We start from the raw sequence: 22767 nt of genomic DNA, 5'->3' as shown, positions 1-22767 counted from the left end.
GTTTGGATCCTGTTGGACCCAGAAAGCCCCCTCCATGGCAAGACCTTCCATTTGCTAGGTGCCTGTTTGCATAAGATTTTTAAAACCCATTTATTTAAACAATACATCCAGTTTCACAAGCTTCCTTGCTTCAAAGAGAGTTATTTAATGCAAACTCTGGCTTCCAGGTTCTCCATACACCTGGATATATGTATTGCTATTCTAACTCTTCACTCCTAGCATTGCCTTAAGTACTTCAGAAAAAAAAGCCACTTTTGTTCATGTCTAAAATGGTTTAAATATTAAGCTCTTCAAAATATATTGTTCATTTTAGTTAGTAACAATCTACCTAACAAATTGTTGAGATAGTAACCTCTCAGATTAATTCAACCATGCTTACAGGTGAATTCTATGTAAATCAAGCAAAACTTAGGTGTGAGTGATATTTCAATGACACTGTTTTTGGTGGCTGCACACATACTTGGTCAAGGTGGAATTATCATCTTCAAATGTATTTAAATAAATGTATTGAATGAGTGTATCTAAATGAAAACATTACTAAAGAGAGCTGACCTAGCAAAAAGTTTATATGTAAAGTATCTCAACAGTGGCAACTACTTGAAGACTGCTCCAAGGATATCTAGAAATAGAGCATCTTTAAGTATTTGAAGGCCTACAGTCTGCCTTGCCCAAACCCAAGTAGTCTCAGCAGATTCTCTTTCCAAACTTTTTCAACAACCCACTGCTTTCTGCTTTTTCGCTTTTTTTTTTTTTTACTCTAAGTTCTGGGATACATATGTAGAATGTGCTGGTTTGTTACATATGTATACACGTGCCCTGGTGGTTTGCTGCACCCATCAACCCATCATCTAGGTTTTAAGCCCCGCATGCATTAGGTGTTTGTCCTAATGCTCTTCCTCATCTTGATCCCCACCCCATGACAGGCCCCAGTCTGTGAGGTTCCCCTCCCTGAGTCCATGTGTTCTCATTCCTCAACTCCCACTTATGAGTGAGAACATGTGGTGTTTGGTTTTCTGTTCCTATGTTAGTTTGCTGAGAATGATGGTTTCCAGCTTCATCCATGTCCCTGCAAAGGACATGAACTCATTCTTTTTTATGGCTGCATAGTATTCCATGGTGTATATGGGCCACATTTTCTTTATCCAGTCTATCATTGATGGGCATTTGGGTTGGTTCCAAGCCTTTGCTATTGTAAATAGTGCTGCAATAAACATATGTGTGCATGTGTCTTTATAGTAGAATGATTTATAATCCTTTGGGTATATACCCAGTACTGGGATTGCTGGGTCAAATGGTATTTCTGGTTCCAGATCCTTGAGGAATCACCACACTGTCTTCCACATGGTTGAACTAATTTGCACTCTCATCAACAGTGTAAAAGCGTTCTTATTTCTCCACATCCTTGCCAGAATCTGTTGTTTCCTGACTTTTTAATGATTGCCATTCTAACCGGCATGAGATGGTATCTCATTGTGGTTTTGTGTTTGTCTTTTTGCTTTTGACTCTGACTCTTCTAACTACCCCTGCCTCCTACGACCATACTGAACTGTGGTATTTCCAGACCAAGCTTTCCAGAAGCATAGTGTAGGACTTAGGATATTGCTGGCATTATGCTAGCATATAATTTTCACTTTTAGTGATATCTATTCCTTCACATTTTTAGAGTACATTGAATGTATACATATGCCTCCTATATTGTTTTTATGCATGCTGGCAAAATTGCTAACTATGCATAGCAAGATTACAACTTATTGTAAAATAGAGATTGTTCATATTTGTGTCAGTTATATGAAATAAGTGAAAATCCTTTTATCAATAAGAAATAAATTTATTTCATTTTCCAGTCAGAAAACTCTATCTGAGAGCTATATTATAAAAGAAATGCCAGTGATTAACTACCTGCAATGATCTTCTCTTCCCTGTGGCAGCATATAAGCATTAAGGGGAGAATGAATTTCTTAGTTATAGAATGTATTTATAAAAAAGAAAAAGATGTAAAAGATAGAGGAAGAACAAAGTCTTCTTCTCTTTAATAGCTGTTTCCTATTTATAGGGGCAGGAAACAGTCATAGGCACTAGAGCCATTTCCCCTCATTTGGGACCAAAAGCTATAACCAAAGTCTATAACCAAAGATATATGGGACTCAATCATCTCCTTGAAAGTTACTGAGTAGGAAAATGAGGCCGAATTTTAACAGGGAGGAAGAATATTCTAGGAGGGAAAGGGAAGACTGAGTTTTCCATATGACCCATCTAGGGGGTTCAGACTCTATCCTAGGAGTTCCCATCTCACCAAAACTATCCAAGTAATGGTCCAAATTTTCAAGCCATAAAATAAATTTGGCAAGAGATCTCAGTTTGAATTGATGATCAAGGAGTTGACTTGCCACTTTGTTAATTTCATAAAACCATAAAATTATTAGAGTTTGGTTTAAAATTAGAATTATTTTTATTTATTTTTATTTTAAAAAATGTTTTATAGAGATGGGGTCTGACTTTGTTTCCCAAGCTGGTCTCAAACTCCTGGACTCAAACAATCCTCCCACCTCAGCCTCCTAAAGTGCTAGGATCACAGATGTGAGCCAGTATGCCTAGTCTATAGTTAGAATTTGATTTAATATTGAGATTGAAGAGAATCTGGGAATTGAATTTAGAAATGTTAAGACTCTTGAAAATCTTACTTTATGGAGCAAGTAATACTCATCAGACTTGTATTCTGCATTAATTTTAGTCAAGGTCAATGTTGTTCTTAGAAATTACCTGTCTTCAATGGAAATGAAAGTTAATGATCTATTATTTTCATTATGCTACCCCTAATGCCTGGACTTGATCAAAAAAAAATTAGTAATTAAATATAAGAATAAAAGTATGACCGGACTTCAACATATCGCTTGAGGTCTGGAGCCAGCAAGTAACTAACAGTATTTAATAGGGTGAGAGCTTTACTGTGGCTTAGAAGAGAATCAATAATGTAATATCAAAATGTAATGTAATCAAAAATGTCTTTCATTGCTGTTTATATATTGTGTTAGTTCATATGCATTACTGTAAAGGAATACCTGAGACTGAGTAATTTCTAAAGAAAAAAGGTTTATTTTAGCTCATGGTTCCGTAGACTTGTACAAGCATGGCACCAACATCTGCTCAGCCTCTGGTGAGGGCCTAGGAATCTTCCAGTCACCACAGAAGGTGAAGGGGGAAGCAGGTGCATCACATGGAGAGAGAGGGAACAAACAAGAGGTGGGTATGAAAAGGGCAGCAAGCCATTCAGGAGGGATCCGCCCCCATGACCCAACATGTTCCTCCAGGCCCCACCTCTAACTTTGGGGATCACATTTCATCATATTTGGAGGGGACAACATCCAAACAGTATTATATAAATATACATGAGAGAAGGTAAGTAGAAACATAAAATGAACTGAATGTTGTCTTATATTCTTGCTATATAAGGAAATTTCTTTTTATAGCTACAGTGTTTGTGGATTTCAGAGTTGTTTACCTTAACCTATTGAAGACAGCATTGTGGAGAATTGCTCTCTCTGCCACACCTAACAGTTCACTTTACCTACACATCATACAGTGGTGGCTTGTGCAAATTTCAGTTACGTGTTCCTTGAGATTACAACAAATTGTGAAATTTGGCAAAATAACCAAATCTATATAAATGTTAGCAAGCGTCTAAAGTTATTTCCCTGTCATTGTTTTCCGCTCTTTTACAATGATCAATTAGTTACAACTTAGGGCCAAATTATATATCCACAGAATTTTAGAGCTCAGACATGAATACAGAGAAACAAAAAATTTTTTTTAGAAAAAAATATTAAATTGGTTTCCTCCAATTATATTTTACCTTTAAAACAGCCCATCCTTATTTGTAATTTGCCATAAAGTATTTTTTAGAAATATTTTTCTACCATTCTACAAAAAAAGTTGTAAATTGTAATACCACTATTTCCTTATTAAAATAAATTAAATTTTAGTAAGATTCACGGCAAACAGTACAAGCCCAAAACATCTATGTCAATCCACTGAACCTAGTGTCTCTGAAGAAAATAGTACAGGCCGGGCATGGTGGCTCATGCCTGTAATCCCAACACTTTGGGAGGCCGAGGCAGGCAGATCATCTGAGGTCAGGAGTTTGAGACCAGCCTGACCAACATGAGGAAACCTCGTCTCTACTAAAAATACAAAATTAACAGGGCATGGTGGCACATGCCTGTAGTCCCAGCTATTCAGGAGGCTGAGGCAGGAGAATCGTTTGAACCTGGGAGGCGGAGGTTACAGTGAGCCGACATTGTGCCATTGCACTCCAGCCTGGGCAACAGAGCAAAACTATGTCTCAAAAAAAAAAAAAAAAAAAAAAAAAGAAAGAAAGAAAATAGTACAAAATTGTGTTATAAATAACCATAAATTTCTTAGTGATTCTTACTACTTTATTAGTTACTCCTATTCTACCATAAAATTAATTTGCAAATTTGTTCCAGAAAAACATGATGGCCATCACTATATCTCAAAATTTATTTTACTAATATTACATTTTACGGTGTTAGAAAACCCATTGCAATACCATATGAGAAGTTTCTATTCCAAATGATTTAGCTTTTAAGAGTTATCAGATTTGTTATTGGCTAATAATGAGAAAATTATTTTCTTCTAAATCTTTATATTAAGCAAAATCTAAAGCAATTTCTCCTTATTTAAAGGCTATAGAACTTATATAAAATAACAAAAGTTGGTAAATCTTCATTTGCTATTGAACTAGCCTAATGATTATATTTCTAATAACTTTAAAATTTTTTTTGCTTTTTTTAATATTGGAAAAATAATCAAGATCAAGGTTAAAATATTTAAGCCTTACTTTCTGTGTCTCTAGCTTCTTTAATTTTTTTTCTCAATTATATGAAGTACCCTACTATAGCTTTATAGCCCTAAGGTTTAATGGAGTTTCATTTAATTCTGTGGCCTCAAATTTTTAATGATTGTGAAAAATGATAATATGGATCATGTGATATATATAATAAAAACATTCATTATTTTGTTTGACTCTGTTTAAAGTAACTAAGAACAATACTGTTCTTTAAGAGCTCACAATGGTAACCTGAAATTTAAGACTCATTGTGAGTGGCTACACACCATTTTGCATGAAGGCTGGCCTCCATCCTAATTGGTCAGGCAACTGTCTTATTGGTCTGTGTTCATATATGTTGTTTTGAATATCATCCCTGAATATAAGTGTACTTCCTCTAAGCCAGTCTCAGCAAAGTGTTGATTTATGAACAAGCACACAAACTGAAACTCATCAATCTGACATTCAAAATGCATTAAAAAGACATCTTAACTGCAGTCTACAGTGACGCTATTAATGGTGTGTCTTTCAAACTATCTATGCATTCGAGCAGCTGCTGTCAAATCTCTCTATTGCTACATCCCTTACTTTCTGGCATGCATATTTTCTCACACTTCCCTGTCTATGCAGGTATTCCTCCTCCACTCCTGCCCACTGCTCCAAACATGCAGAGAATCTCTTCTCTGCTTGACATCCATCAGAGGAGTCTTTTTCAGCTTAGAATATGTGCCAACATTTCTCCATCCTCCTTGAAAGGACTCTTTCATTACCTGCCATTTGCTTGTCGGTGCTCCTCTAGATCCAATCATTTTGTCTCCTCTTCATCCAATATTAGCAACAACAAAACTCAAGAGTTAAGAAGACAAATACAGAAATCTTCCTGAATGAGGAGAATGACAATTTTAAACACTTACATATAATATTTTGCCCCCTTCACACAAAATAATTGCTACTTGACACATTTGTTCATATACCACCATTTTTGATGTCTTAATAAGTATTTGGTTATTTTAAAACTGCTCTGTTCACTCTTTTTGGAGGAAAGCTCACTTCCACTTTATTTTCCCCCAAGATATCAAAAATGCAGCTTAGTGAAGTTTGTTCCTTCTCAGCATTTGTTAGGCATTTATAATTTGTATATGATACCCCTACCTTTCTGGCATGAGACAGTGGCCTTTCCTGCCCAGCCTTCCTACTTTAGAACACCTTGATAAGGTGTTGGGAGAGTGGAGGAAGAGGATGAATTATAAATTTTGCTCTTATTCACTGAATTGTAAACCACTTGCTCCTAAAAGGTTTCAGTTTGAATCCACCAGCTTCTAGGACTGCAGAAAATGATTTACCCTGCATGGGCAAGTCTCCTGTGAGGAATAATAATCACAAGTATAACAGACCAAAAGTAAGAATCATTGTTAAGGCACCATTTCCATTGGTATGGCATTTTCTGAACCAGAAAGCTAGTGCAGAACTGACTCATAGATACTCATGTTACTGATTTATTTCTTAAAATAGCTATTCTACAGAAGGTATTCCTCAGAGACATCACCAAATACTGACCCAGGCTATTCCTGCTTAGCTTAGCCTGACAGTTTCAGTATTTTAGTGTTATTGTCTTAGCTGGGGTAAAAATCCTACTCGCTTTCTCTTAACATATTAATAGTGTGGAAACACATTGCTGTCACCTCTGCTTCTCAACAGTTTAAGATGAAGTTGTTCTCTAAATGAGTCAGTGTTGACTGGTTGGCTGGCCCTTGTCAGGCTTCAGCTGTCAATCATAAAAGAAAAACTTCTCAAGTGGTATATGAGAAAGTTGTCCTAATACAGCATTGTTCAAAGATGGGCATTAATAAAATATTTGACAACAATGTTTCCTGGAGCTGCTAAAGTTCATGGCTACTGGAAAAGGATATTTTAAGTTATCTAAAGGATTTTCACTAAACATTGAAATATCATTAAGCCAGCAATGACAGTTGAGTTTGATTAGTGTTCTGACAGAGGACGGAATACTAGAGGACACAAGAGGAGTGTCTAAATCAGACATGAGAGATGAAGGTTGACTTCCCTCATGAAGTCACATATAAACTAGAACCCGAATGAAGGGTGGGCAAGATTTAGCCAAGCAAAGAGGTAGGAGAGACTTTTATCAATGGTCTACCTCCCCCAACCTCCTTTTTCAAACAAAGAGCTATGAAAGGGCAAAAGAGTATGCAAATCATCTATGTGCTTAGAGAGGACCACATAGCTTAGATCAGAACTGAGATAACATAAATTATTAATTTTTTATTTTTATTTTTATTTTACTTTAAGTTCCGGGATACATGTGCTGAATGTGCAGGTTTGTTACACAGGTATACATGTGCCATGGTTGTTTGCTGCACCTATCAACCCATCATCTAGGTTTTAAGCCCCACATGCCGAGATATTTGTCCTAATGCTCTCTCTCCCTTTGCCCCCAACTTCCCAACATAAATTATTTAAGGTCATTGTATGTGCATTGATTACAAATTCAAAGAAAAACACCACTATCAGAAATAGGTCCTCACTAGCACCATGAGGCCATTAGGACCATGAGGAATAAATACCCAAGTCAAAGGGCTAAACTCATCAGTTTAGAAACTGGCCCGAAACTCATCCTTCCCCACAGACAGAACCACTCATTTTGTGGTCATTTTTTCTATTATTTGATCTGACTATAATAGGCAGAAATAGACGCCTTTCCTCAATCTAAACACAGGGCAATTGCACACTTTCCTGCCAAAGATTTCAGGACTGAACGTGTTTATCTCATTTCACAACTAGTTTGTACCTCCCATCTATGGTTTTCCAAAATATTACCCTCCTATGTTGTGCCTGCTCATACCACTGACTTAAGCTTTCAAAACATACCCCCAGTGACATGGCTGTTTCCATAGCATTTTCAAAGGATATTTATTCCCTCTTTACCCATCTCAAGTGATGGAGTCAGTGTTCTCACTTTCTATTTCATTGTGCAAACCATTGTACATGAGGCCTCTGTACTTTGTAACTCATTCCTTCTGAAAGTTTCCTTCTCTTCCTCCTCTTCACAGTCCTCTAGCACAGCTGGGCTCACTCATTTCTATCTACCTTTCACACAAGAAACCCAACATACTGGCCCCGCAGTTTCTTTGTTTTCTTTAATTGTGTGGAGAAAATATGTCATATAGACAAAATAATGTTTAAACTATTTCTGTTCATTTCAATAAGAATAATATAATGAACACCTACATAGCAACACCGATATTCCTCTGGTTAAGGAATGGATCTTTCTTTCAAGCCAGTTGTGTGCCCATCTCCATCATATCCCTTTAGCAGCACCCCCCATCACCCCATGCATATTATTTCTATTCATTTCTCTTCATTGTACCACCTATGAATAATCAAACAAATTTACTGTTTTTAACTTTGTTCATTCTTGAGCTTTATACACATGAAATTATACTATATGTATTTTTGTGTGCATACAACAACTGTATGGGGTAAGTTCGGGTTAAATCTCAAAATCTTGACATAAGGGCTGTGATGGCTATTGTTTACTCATTTCATTTTTGGATAGTACTAAATTGTGTGACTACACCACAATTTAGTAATCTGCAGTATATTAGTTGTAAAAATGGTCAAAGGAAAATATCTAAAGTAATTTTTTGAAATGCATTACAGAAATTAGCATGAAAATTGGTAGAGGTTCTAATATATATATAACTGGAGATTCAGAAGGAGGAGGGAGATATAAAAGAGTAGAAGAAATATTTGAAGAGATGATGACAGAACTTTTCAAAACTAGTTATTTTGGACTGAATACTTATGTCCCCCAACAAATTCATATGTTGAAGCCCTAACCCCCAATGTATTGGTATTTGGAGAAGGGGCCTTTGAAGGTAATCAACTTCAACAAAATCATGAGGATGGTGCCCTCATGATGGATTAGCATCCTCATAAGAAGAGGAAAAGAGACCAGAGCTCTCTCTCTCTCTCTCTCTCTGCAGTTTGAGAATACAGCAAAAAAGGAGTTGTCTGTAAAACAGGAAGAGGGCCCTCACCAAGAACCTAATTATACTGTCACCCTGATCTTGGACTTGCAGCTCCAGAACTGTGAGAAATAAGTGTTTGTTGTTTAAGCTACCCAGTTTATGGTATTCTGTTATACCAGTGCAAACTGACTAAGACACCAATTAGAGAAGCCCTAGGAACCCAAACAGGCTAGTAATAAAGAAAACCACAACTAAGGGTACCTAGTAAAGTTACTTAATACCAGTTAACATCAATTTTCCCGCTCCATCATGGCTATGGTCTTTCTCCAAGAAGGGTTTAAAAGAGAGGACTTCACAGATCTGAGTTCAGACACCATGTTCCTAGAATTTCCTTTTAATGTACATAGATTAAATTAAGAAAATACCTTTTATTTCTAAAGTAGAAATATTACCATGACATTCTCCTGCTCAAAATTCTTTAGTGATTCCTGTTGGTCCAGTATAACACCCATTGCCCAAGACTACAATTTCACTTGATAAAATTATACACATGCTTTAAAACTCAAAATCGAGGTTAATTTTTTATTGCTGTGTTTTCTAACTTCCTACTCACATTTTGGGTGAGCTGCTGACACTCTGTAGGTCTATAGCACACATGACAGCACTTACACTATTCAATTATGCTTGTTAACTGGCATCTCCTCACCCCTCCACACACATATACTCTAATAAACTTCTTGAAATCAGGACTATGTATTTTACATCTGAATCTCCAGTACTTAGGACAGTCATAATGCTTTATAAATATCTGAGGGTAAATGAAAGGCTTAATGGCTACTCCCTTTGGGTAGCATCTTGGCTGCTGTGTTTGAGTCACTTATTCTGATCTTGGATTATTATCCACTTCTGAGTTGCAATATGCCTGGTAGTCAAGCATAAACAACTAGTAAGTTCAAAGCAAAATGATCAAACCAAAAAATCACTTTTGAGCAAACCAACAAATAAATTGAATTTTGTTTAAAAAAAAGTTTTTGAAGACTCAGCCATTTTCCCTATATCCAGACTCCTTAGCAAGATCTAAAAGAGTATAAGTTACAGTTTGCCGAATTATGTAGATACACTGCATATAGTATACTAAATATTTTAATTTTGCTTTTATTAAGACTGAAGACCATCTTCCTTACTAAAGTTTTTGCAAAATCAAACTCGAGATGAAATGTAACACCTTCATTTGTATCAAGCTATCTGATAAGCCATATAAAACAGTTTGCTGTTAGGTGTGCCTGATGAATATATTCAATGCTTTCAAATGGTAAAGACATGTAATAGATGTTGTTGTTGCCCCATGCAGATCTCCTTGATCAGGCAGGCCTATGCATACCACTGCCACTGTGAATGTTGGCTGCTAACTACAGATTTTCTTTATTCAGGAAATGGCCTTAGTTGTACATTCCCTCTGACCTTCTTCCACATTAACTATTGACTAATTGATAGGCCCACTTGCCTCAAGATGGAAACCATGTTCATGCATAATTCCTATCGAAAGCTTCTCAGGGGATCAGACTGAAGCTGGACTTCAACAAAGGGCAACCTTGCTTAGCTCCTCCTGACCTAGGATACTTCCTTCATTCTCTTTCTCCAGAGAGTGCACCCTCCATAAGCACCTTGAATGAAAATCCCTCCTCAAACTCTGCTTGTAGGGAAACTCACCTAAGACAAACTATTCTAACTAATAAATTGTTAAATATTTTCGAAGTCACTGTCTACTTAGTTTGGTAAGAAAAGTACAGTATTCCTGACTTTTCTTATAATGATTGGAGAAAATAATGATTGGAGAAAAATAATATTCAAGAGTTGCAGCTGAGATACGGTTGAGGAAAATCTTTGATAAATGAGAGAAAAAGAAAAATGCAAGTAGAATGGCAATTGGATCCAATTCAGCATGTGCCATAGCTGAATAAGTACAGTTTCAGAAAAAAATAAGAAGAGTATATTATAAAGAAAATAATTTCAAAACATTCTAGAGGGATATCTGAAGGATATGAGATTTCTCCTTAGAATACTCACCAAGTGTTCAGTAAGAGAGATGAGAAAAGATTCATGACAAGGAATGCTGTTACAAAAGTTTAGGGAAGAAATGTCATTGGATTCCTCCACAGTCACACTAGAAAAAAGACAATGGAGCCAACGTAGCATGCTTTCAGTCACCATATTCTCAATTTTCAACTTGGAATTCCATACTGAACTGTACTCTCAATCTCACATGAAGGTAGAATATGTACATTTTTAAATATGCAATTCTCAAGTTCTCAAAAGATTAATCTCCCTTGTATCATTTAACAGGAAGCTTCTAAAGGATATATTTTAATAAAATAAAGAAGTAAATCAAGAAAAGATCCAGAACACCAAGGATGCCTCATGGAGAGACAAACGAAATCCCAGAATGATGAGAAAGAGGGGTTCCAAAGATATATTCTCAAAGTTAAAATATATTTGAAATAAATTTATTGTTCTCAGAAAGAGTTTAAAGATGAGTAAGTGAAATGTACACTAAAAATATGCAAAGAAAAAAGAAAATTATTGAACCAAAGCAAAACAAAAAGCTACTCAAGAATACAACAGTTTCAGGAATTTGGATGTGTCTTACTCCTATATACACAAAATTCTTTTTACATGCTGTGCTCATCCAATTCTAATTTTCTAATTATATCTATCTTCTGGCCTATTAATGGCTTCTCAAAAAGAATAGAAGGACCAAGAGGACAGTGTGCGAAATCCTAAACTCCAAATGACATCTTCGTCTATGCCAGACTCTGCCTCCAAGATAAGTTCTGACCAACCTATTCTATTTTTCCACATAGTTCTAATAAACTGCATCTATCTGGCCTGGTTATAAGATGTCAACATCAGAATTTTTCTATCCTAGTTGTGTTTATCTAACAATGATGGGAAAAGCTAAAAGTAAAAAAAAATAAGTTAGCAATGAGATAGATGAGGTTCCATATTATTCAGTCTTTGCTAAACCAATATATATTATCTTCATACTTAGCAAGTTTACTTTCCTGTTTGACCTACTTCATAAAGCTTTACAGAAAACAAGATTCATATAATGCTAGGTATAAATAAATGTGTCCATATAACATGCTTCTGAATGAAATACAGAAAGAAAAATTTCTTTTTATACCTGTGGGTATTAAAAATAGACAAGTTTAGGTAACTAGGTAATCATTGCTATTACTTATTTGTAATATGGGTAAAACCTCGTGATTTTACAAGTTGAGGTGGCATAAAAACTGCTAAGAACTACAGAAAAAATTACAATGTCAATATAACATGGGTGTCAAGGGAGAACAGTACACAACAGAAAGTTTATATCTGTACAAAATGACCTACTTCATATAAGATAAAATTAAATTACTGCAGGGATGAGTGTCAGACAATATAAAATGCCTATTTGTCCCAAGCAACCTACTTTAACTTTGAGCATTTCTGGATGATTTCTTATCAGAGAAACTACAGTTCATAGTCACACTAATTTAAACACATGTACTATACAAGATTATGTGTAATTTTCATTGTGATATTTATTTTAGGTATGGAATTTTTGTATTGAGGATTCTATTTAACAGGCATGGTGTTGAGAGAATGATTTATAAATAGTTTATCATGTTTTAACAATCGTGAATGGTGCAAACCTGTACTTTTTTTCAGCAGTTTAATCACAGAAATTCCAGGTTGGCATTTGGTTGTAGATAGTTTAAACCCTTCCTCTTTATTAAATTCATTCCCATTTATTTGTGTAATTTTGTTACTGTAAGCTATGGGTTTTCCCTATAATCATTTTAATCAGCTTACTGATTATTTACATTATATTTGATGACTGGAATATATTGATTTCATACCTGTATCACTCGGCTCATGGTCTTTTCACTGCCCAGGAATGCCTCAAACTACATCTCTGTAGTTCTAAATTCTGACTACCTATTCCTATTAAAATGTCAGTTCTCCACAAAATCACTTCTGATCCCTCAGCCCAGAAGGAATTTCTCCCTGTCCCTAAAATCATAGCAGTTTAGCCTTGTCACCTGAAACAACACCCAACATTTTCCATCTTGCACTTTTTCCTAGAATCCCTCTTTGAGGGACGAAGATTTCATTATTTACCCGTTTAAACTTCAAGTATTTATTCTATGGGAAAATTCATGGTATTTGCTTAAGAAAATCTCTGGAAAAACAGGCACTTGAAAAATCCATACATTTGTATCCTGACCACGAAAAGCAGTGGCCAGAAATAAACGTTATTTTCAACACATTGCTTAAATTAAGCTGTCGGTCATAAAAGCTTGGATTATTTAAACAAATGACTGCTTCAGACATCTGTTACCAACTGATGCTGCACAAGTACTACAAAATCTCCTTCTGTATAATTCCTTAACCATGGAATGGGAGTAAAAGCAGGGAGGTGGATGGCAACTTCCCTACATGCAATCAATAGGCTGATTTTAGAGACTCACTTCATACTCTCATTCCTCTCAGACCTACCCAACTCTCATAACACAAGCAATTAATTATACAACTTCCAAGGATCTAAATCTAGTTTCTCCTAACAAAATGGTTAGGGACAATTTTCAGGTACTCCATAAAGACGAGAGGCAGAGAGATAGAAAGAAATTTGAAGAGAAATCAAGAAAGAGAGAGAGATTCTAATAGTTTCTGAAAGCTTTATTGTTTTCTATTTCCTGTTAAACCTACAGTCCACCCTGAAATGATTTGCTTTGTATGGTATAGGTAGGGAATTGCCACTTATTTTTATTTCTACCTAGACCTTTAACTAACCCAGCACCATGTATGAAAATGACCACTCTTTTCCCTCTGCACTGCCATGTCAACTTTGTTATAAATCGAACGATCTTATACATGTGATTTCTGAAACAGTTATTCTACTCCATTGCTCAATTTGTCTATCCTTCTGTTAATACTTTAGTCTTAACTACTATTATCAAATAATAAATCTTATATCTGGTATATAAATCTTCCAGCTTTGTTCTTGCTCAAGGGTGCCTTGGTTATTCATGGCCTTTGATTTTCCGTGAAAACATTAGAAATAACTTGTCAATTTCCCCCAGACAAACCCTGCTAGAATTGTGATTGTAGTAAACTAGAGAAAACTAAGTTCTTAAAAACATTTAATCTTCAATTCCATTTATATGATATATCATTTCATAATCAAATTAAACTAAATTATTATTTAGGCATAGATTGTGGTCAATACTTCTTCCCAAACTCCCTGTTTGCCTATTACTGTAAAAGTTGATAAATACAAATATTCAACTTTCTAATGTCCTTTGTGGCCAGGAACATCATGTGACATGGTGCTTATGGGACACAAGAGGAAAACTAAAAAGCCTTTTACATTCTTAATAAAAAGGAAGAAATGTGACTAGCACTGTATTTTCCTTTTTGTTACGCCTTAAATGCCTGAGTGATTAATCACCATCCAAAGAAATTAACAGCCCAGACACCAATGAACCAAGCTAAGGCCACCTGCGGACTACCTTCAAGTTATTGCTAAATTAAAAAAAAACCCCTTATTTATTTATATTTAAGTTAACATTAGCTAGGGAGAATCTACTGTCAACTAATACTAACATATTGGAGGGGAAAAACGAAAGTACCAGATTAGAATACTATGCCTTTTTTCTATGTATGAGGTCTCTCATAACTAAAACTTCTAATAAAAAAAATACAGAGCCTTCATTCTACTATAAATTATAAGTATTATAGAACTACTCTAAATGATAATATTATTTTTCTGGGTTATCTATAAAATCTGCATACATTAAAAATTATTGAAACATTGATTCTTACTGCAGTGTCTTATTTGACTCCAAAAAGGAACTGTAATATTTCTTTCTTCTGACTAAAAGTTTTATGGGTTACTCCCAATATCTCTGATTTTTAAGACAAATAAAGCAAAAACTCTTATGGATGGTAAACAGTGTTCTTACTTTAAATATTTTTTCACTTACAATGAACTGGTGATTTACCAACTATTACTGGACTACTTCTGCTTTCAATTATTTTTAAATATTAATATTTTGAAATATTTTAATATATATTTTATTTGCTTACATTTTATAACTACATGCAAATAAAGTATTTTAAAAATTATTCCAAACAGCGTGTGCTAAGTAAAAGTAAAACGCATCCAGCGACTAATATGTATTTTATAGATAAGAATTTATATTTATTTGAAAAGTTGCAACAGAATCGCCTCTCAAAGACATGGAATCATTTTCCCAGAATTCTTGTATCCATAAAGAATTATATTTAAAATTTTTCTCTAAATACTACATTTATGCTTATTTGGAACAATCACCCTGTGTCAATTTGAGTCTCTAAAAGATCTCTGCTTATGGTAATTTGGAAGGCATTTTTCCAGGGTAGTACTAATAAAAAATGGAACTAATGAAACCAAACTATACTCCATAGCCCCCAAGGTACAACTTTATACCTACCTGTGTAGAAATACCTGTGGTAGGTTTCAAAACAATTCTATAAAGGGACTATATTCTTTAGGCACAATTTTTTTTCACAACTGGAATCTAAAATAAAATAACAAAAGGAGATGACTTATTGTTCATGGTAATTTGTACTGTATTTATTACTAGCTAGAGAATATACATTCCTAATATAAGCATCCCTATACATTTTCAGAGAATAATGCATATTCCTAAGGTGCCATGAAGATTGACCCATCGTTCTACTTACTTGAATGTGTCTCTGGGCCACAACTTGATTCATCTGATCTTTTCAATACTATGAATGAATCCAGATAATGCTATTTTTATTTTTGTTAATTTTTAAGTTCAGGGGTACATGTGCAGGCTTGTTACATGAGTAAACGTGTGTCATGGGGGTTTGTTGCACAGATTATTTAATCATTCAGGTATTAAGCCTAGTACCCATTATTTTTTTTTCTGATCCTTTCCCTCCTCCCACCCTCCACCTTCGGAAAGGCCCTAATGTGTGTTGTTTCCCTCTGTGTGTGTGTGTTCTCATCATTTAGCTACCACTTATAAGTGAGAACATGTGGTATTTGGTTTTCTGTTCTTGCATTAGTTTGTTAAGCACTACAGTAACCAAAATAGCATGGTACTGATATAAGAACAGACACATAAACCATTGGAACAGAATAGAGAACCCCAAAATAGGACCGCACACCTACAACTATCTGATCTTCCACAAACCTGACAAAAACAATGGGGAAACGATTCCCTATTCAATAAATGGTGCTGGGATAACTGGCTAGCCATATGCCAAAAATTAAAACTGGACCCCTTCTTTATACAAAAATTAACTCAAGATAGAAGAAAGACAGATAATACTATTTTTATATTGTCTGTTATTGTACTCATTCAAATTCAAAACTCTTTTTGAAAAGTTCGAAGAATTTTATCACAAGTGAATTAATTGCTAAAATCTATAGCAACATGTAACACCCAGTTCCACTGGATTGCAGAAAATAATGAATCATTCTTTCTCTTCCTCATACCAATTGCTCCTCTCCACTAATACTCTTCTTTTTCTTCTTTATTTTTAGAGCTTAGACTGTATTCCTTAAAGTTAATTGAGCTTTTGATTCAACATTAAATTTTCTGACTTATTGAAGTTTTAAATTCAAGTCATCATAAGACTATGTAGGTAATGTAATGCAAATTTTAAAAATAGGTCAGGTGTGATAAAACAGAGAACACATGTCCTGTCTAAAGAAGGCAACATCTAGTGAGTTATTCTTTTGAGAATTGGGGCACAATTTTGCTAGAACTTAATTTTCAAGAGAAGTCATAATTATTTCAGTAATTGGTTGGTTTTTCAGTGAAATAGTCTAATTGTAAATGCTGGCAACTAATTCAAACTTAGTAAGAAACAAACAACTGCAGTGTGCAGGATGATACTTGGATTAAATGATACATATTTGTGTGCTGCAGTCAGTCTTAAGCTTTTTACTTCTATGCATTATGGATATAATCAGTGGAATGTGTACAATTATATCTTTCTTTGTTCTTCCCATATATTAAAGTATTTGACTTTCTGGGGAAGCAGAAAAATTCTGCAGTTGCTCCTTGTCAACAATGAAGCTAAATCCTGTATAATTGTAATGCATAGCATTTATTCGCAACCAGGAGGAATTTTGCCTCCTAGGGGATATTTGGCAATGTTTCCTGACATTTTTGGTTGTCATAATGAGGGGAAGAAGGTCAGGGCACTATTACCATCTAGTGAGTAGAAACTAGGAACACTGTTAATCATTCTACAATGCACAGGACAGCCCCCCAACAAAGACTTATCCAGCACTGAATATCAGTAGCACTAAGGTTGAGAAATCATGGTTTATAAGACTCCCGGATCCTCAATATTTCCTAAAATTCCTATGGAAGCATAAGAAATGTATGTATGAGAAATGGAATTGAGATAATTAGATTAAAAGGTGTGAGGTAACTTTAAAAAACATTTCAGGTTTCTGGGGTACATAACCAATATGTATAGATCCAGGAGTCTTGCTCCACTTGAGCTCAGGAATAATTTAATGAGTCAGATCTCTTACTTGAAAAGTTTCTTGCATTTTCTAATTCATAATCATTGTAAATTATTTGCTTGTACTTTATATAGAAATGTATATTTCATATTTCAGGGACAGTGGGTACAGCTGTAATGTTTTTAAGGTTTAAGAGATCACTAGAATTAGTTGGATTTTCTTAATGACTTCTGACAAGCATCAAACTCATTTAGACTGAGGAATTTTGAACTTTAAAAATTTCAGTTCATCTTAATCTATGGCCAAATACACCATCAATTTCACTCAATTTATTCCTTACGTGCAGGGTTGGAGAAGTTTAATTTATTTCAAATATCTACTGGTGTCTATATATATTCTTGTAGGTTTTTTTGCTAGTTTGGTTTGGTTTCTGTGAATAGTATTTAATTAGATTCGCTGATTTTTTTTTTACCTTTGCCAGTTTATTTATTTATCCTCCACATAGATGCAGGATTTATGTGATTTCACGTTATTTAAATGGTAGCTACAAACCCAAGAATCCTTGTAGTTCAAAGCTAACTAAAGATTTCAGGCTTTTCCATCTTTCTAAAATTAAAAGACCTTGAAAGAGAAAAATTTTATATTCTAGCCAAGGATAAAAATTATGATAATTTTTTTATTCTTAGCAATATGCAATCTCTAACATTCAGAAAGGTTAGAAATCAAGGGTTTTGTAAAATTATCTTATTAACTTTAAAAAACAATTTTGCCAGAATATAGAAATATACAGACATGCTGTACAGAGTTGTGAATAGTTCCAGAAAACTGCGGCTCCTTGAAACTTCTGAACATATAGAGCGCAGGGATAGTGTAATCCCATATCTGTTGCACAAATTCAGGAATACTAGCCCTTCTTTCCTATTTCTTCAAACTCAAGAGAATTAATTTAGGACAAATAAATTAATGCACTGCTTTATGCTATACAACTTTTGTGGATAATATCATGGAAGAAAACCATTTTCTCACATATAATATTCCTTAGTGTTCTTTCTTTTGTTTATTCAGGAGACATCACTAATTTATGAAGTTTCAAGTAAAAGGATCAGTTCATATGTGCATATATAGAGCTTTATTAATTCTTAAATTATTATGAGTACTTAAAATACAGTCACACTGAAACTAAAAAGAATACAATTCATTCTTAATTAGATCAACTTGGATTATCTCCACTTAAAAAATTATTTCATTAAACCACTTTGAAAGTTTGGATGTTCTAGGCATTTTAACTCAGGTCTGCCTCAGTACTGCCTTTATATCTGAACATTAGATCTCTGCCTTAGGCCCCACACCTCAAGAAATGCATGCTTCCAAGTACCTTCCTCAAAATTTTCTAAGTCCCTCTCCTATGCCTGGCATGGTTTGGGGCCACCAGTGCCATCTAAGTGTAGTCCAGACTGAGCATAGACATAAATCCTAGCCCCTGATTTTTTACTTGGGACATTTTGCGACCCTCTATTCAGTACATAGACTCAACTGGATGCCCCGAGAAGCTCTAGGACTCACTCAACCTATGTGGTCTTTCTGGATATCATGGTTGAGCCTCAGACCTGTAAAGACAGCCTAGCAAAAAAATTGTTCCAGCTGTTTGGTAAGGTATTTATTCCATGGGATCTCATAGAATTGATCTACCATAATGGTGTGGGCACATTAATTTGGGTGATTCTCACTCACATTGGAGATAAGATGAGTTAAAGGCTCTGGGCTGCTGATGGACCATCATTGAGCCTTGGGCTCAAGTCACGCATGTGACATATGTGGACTCATTCATTAGCTCTCGCCCTTGTTCCAACCATAGTGTCACCTCTAGTCCAGTGGTGCCTGGAGGGTAGCAGATGACTTTTACCATACATCCGCTTTCTGCTAACACTCAAGGAGATCACGCTAGCCCTTTAGTAGCAGGCTTTGTGCCACATTTCAAGCACTGCCTTCTGCAAAAGCTTTAGAGACTCATGCACATAACATCAATCTTTCTTTGGTTCTTTCTTTTCCTGATAAATGTCATAGCTTATAAGCTCCTGGGTCAGTCTTAGACTATGCCAGACACACATGGATATTCCTTGAACTAATGGTACTACTCTTTCTCCCTCCCTCTTGCCTACCTAACCCACTGGATGCCATATGTGGAAGGCGGAGGTCCAGTCCACATTGAAAGATCACCTTCTAGAAATGTAGTGAACATAATGATTACAGCCAAAAGAATACATGTTTGAAGGTTGCATTGCTCTACAATTATACTAGAAAATTTTCAATAATAATTTAATGTGAAAATCAATTATTATTCAGATTTCCCTGCATACTCTGGGTAAGACTGGCAATTGTGGTCATTATGAATTGAACACAGCAACAGTCTTTGAGGGAATCATTGGAAGCCAGTGTCTATGGGCAGCACAATACATAATAGAGCATCATTATTACTGAGTAATCAGCCTTACATGAATAGAAATAACAAACTAACTACAGAAGCAAAAAAGGCCTATATTATTTCAATACAAGTACATTTCAAAGAGCCATAGCATTGTGAGATAGAAAAGCATTGTTAACTATCTTATCATGGGATAGTAACAGAAATTAAATTGGGCATGAATAGTACTTTTGAAAATAAAAACCAAAAAGGATTATTTCTGGACCTGAACAGGAAGAGATGGTGCCTGGACACTTCAAAAAAATTTCTTGTTCACTGATTGAACAATAAAGAAATATCTAAATATTTCTCCACCCATAATTATAAATTATCATCAGAAAATCACTATACCTCGCAAAAAGCCTGTGAATTATGCAACAGATTTTTACTCAAATTGCTTATATAAACTGGGGTCCATTACACTCTGGGAGATGGACCCTGGACTAGTCGTCTCTCTCATTGGCTATTGCTATGCATTTTAAAATACTTTATCAAGAGAAAAGGAAAAGTAAGGCCATAAGGCAGAGAATATGTAGTATAAAGAGATAAAGCGAAGTTAAATATATAAAAATGAAACCATTGTTAAAGAGAAAGTTCTCAAATTCAGAATCCATCTTTGATGTGGTTTATTAAGAAAATATTGAAATTTACTTAATCAACTCACTTTTAAAAAACTTTTTCTCTGTGTTTGTATTGTGTGTTTGAATGTTTGTGCATCTGTGTTCTTTTTTTACTAACAAGCAGAAGATCTTGAAAAGAACATTCTCTGGCCATGAAAGTGTAACTGGTGCCAGACTAGTCCTCTGGCCAAAAACAACTGTAAAACTATGAAATATATAAGGCAATTCTTTTCAGAGGACAGCATACAGGGAACAGGAGTACAGATAGGAAAATACGTAAGTAAGCCTAACAATCACTCTTCCTGGAAACACTTTCTAGACTGCAGTGCAGAGAGGTGAAACCCAAACAGAGCACAAGGATTCTGCTTAGCTGGGGAAACAAGGACTACAGTTCTGAGCCACTAAGTTGGCTAGAGTCTGCAGAATAGAAAAAAGGAGGTGCAGAAATTTTGCATAGGGTTCTCTCACTATTTAACTATATACTAAGTTGTGTATGCTCTGGGTGAAATTTCATGAGACCTAGCAACAGATATCTGTGACAAATTATGATCTGACATTCCAGCCCACACTTGGCCTCAAATAATATGTTAAATTTTTAACTGATTCTTACCACTTACCTGGTAGCCATTCTTTCTCCCACACTCAGCCACACATAAGCCACTCTGTATATGCCATTATCCCTGGAGGGGTCATTTCCACCTTTATTTCATGTTACTTGATTGTCCTGCTACTTCAGCTCTTTGATAGGCTCAAAAAGTTAAGATTTTTTGGTTTATTTAGCTACTTATAGTTGTTAGAATGGACAGGGCACTCTTTCCATTTTTCTACGTGCCAGGCAGAAGCAGAAATCTCATTCAATTGATTTTCAATAGAGGTCCCAAAGTAATTGAATTGGGAAAGTCTTTTCAGCAAACGGTTCTGAGATAATTGAATATTCATGTGGAAAAAAGGTGAGACTCAACCACTATTTTATATCACATATAAAAATTATCTTGAGATGGATCATAAACCTAAATTTTAAAGCTAAAGCCCTAAAGCTTCTTGAGGAAAACACAGAATACATTTATGGCTTACCATTAAATCTTGATTTCTTAGACTGGACACAGAAAGCAAAGGCATAAATTTTTTAAAATGCTAAATTGTACTTCATTAAAATTAAAAATGTATGTTCATCGAAAAAGACACAATGAAGACAATAGATAGGCAAACCACAGACTGGGAGAAATATGTGCAAAACATCTAACTGACAAACACATTCACTTTAGATAGATGATAGATAGATAGATCCTACCACTTGGCAATATAAAAGCAATCTACTCCATAAAAAATAGGAAAAAGGCTGGAACAGACACTTAAAGAGGAAATATGATTGCCAAAAAGCCATGAAAAGGTGCTCAATCAGTCTTTAGAGAAATACAAATTAAAACTACAATAAGATATTAATAAATAATGTCCAACAGCCCTAAAATTAAAATAACATAACAACAAAAATTGGAAAAGATACAGTCATTAGAACTCATAAATTCCTGGAAGGGGTGTAAACTACCTTGGGAAAGGACTGTCAATTTCTTACAAAGTTAAACGTTAGGTTTATACTATTACCCAGCACTCCCAGTCCTAGGTATTTCCTGAGAAAAATAAAAACTTCAACCTACTGAAAATCAACAGAATGTTCATAACAGCTTTTTCATAATTGCTAAATGAAGCAACTCAAATATTCACTACCATGAGTGCCTGCAAATGTCCTTTAATGCTAAAGAATTCTTTATTACACAATGGAATACCACTAGGCAAAGGTATCTCACCCTCAAATTTTGACTGAGATGTTTAGGTACCTCCTATTTTTTCTTAATAACTGGAACACTGGCTACCTTAGACACTCAGTGTAAAGCTATCTTCCATATAAGGTCGAGGAGACAGCATCACAGTAACATAAACCATCCTCCTAATGACTTCTGCTGAGCTATGTATGAAATTAGTGAGAGTAGAGAGTAAGCAAAGGCTAGATCACCAATGGCTTTGTGTCCTGTGCTAAGGTGTTTTGTTGTCATAACGGGGGCAACAGAGAGCCATTGAAGCGTTGTAAGCACATCATATCGGGTTCAGATTGACGTTTCACAAAATTACTTTGACAAACTGGAAGATTGCAAATTAATGGCAGGAAAAGAAAGTAGGGATATGTTGCTACAATCTTGGAGTAAGAAAAAAAATAGAGGCAGTATGGCTACTGACTGTATCTGAGAGATAATGAGGAGGCAGAATCAAAAAGGTTATTGTTTAATATGGTGGTGAGAAGGAGGAAAAAACAAAGT

General features: G+C 35.1%; 1 long non-coding RNA gene across 2 annotated transcripts in view; it reads right to left on the bottom strand.

The window, feature by feature from the left end:
- The window catches only part of POT1-AS1 (POT1 antisense RNA 1), a 215362-nt gene that overhangs the window by 40105 nt on the left and 152490 nt on the right, over positions 1 to 22767 (bottom strand). Inside the window, exon 5 of one of the 2 annotated variants that reach the window (NR_125719.1) lies at positions 15354 to 15440. The exons of the other annotated variant lie outside the window; for it this stretch is intronic. This is a non-coding gene — a long non-coding RNA (POT1 antisense RNA 1). The remainder of the gene's footprint in view (positions 1 to 15353; positions 15441 to 22767) is intronic. 2 annotated transcript variants of the gene reach the window in all.

The sequence above is a fragment of the Homo sapiens genome, chromosome 7 (assembly GCF_000001405.40).
Source record: "Homo sapiens chromosome 7, GRCh38.p14 Primary Assembly".
NCBI classification, from domain to species: Eukaryota; Metazoa; Chordata; class Mammalia; order Primates; family Hominidae; genus Homo; species Homo sapiens.
This window is presented reverse-complemented; position numbering and strand designations above follow the sequence as displayed.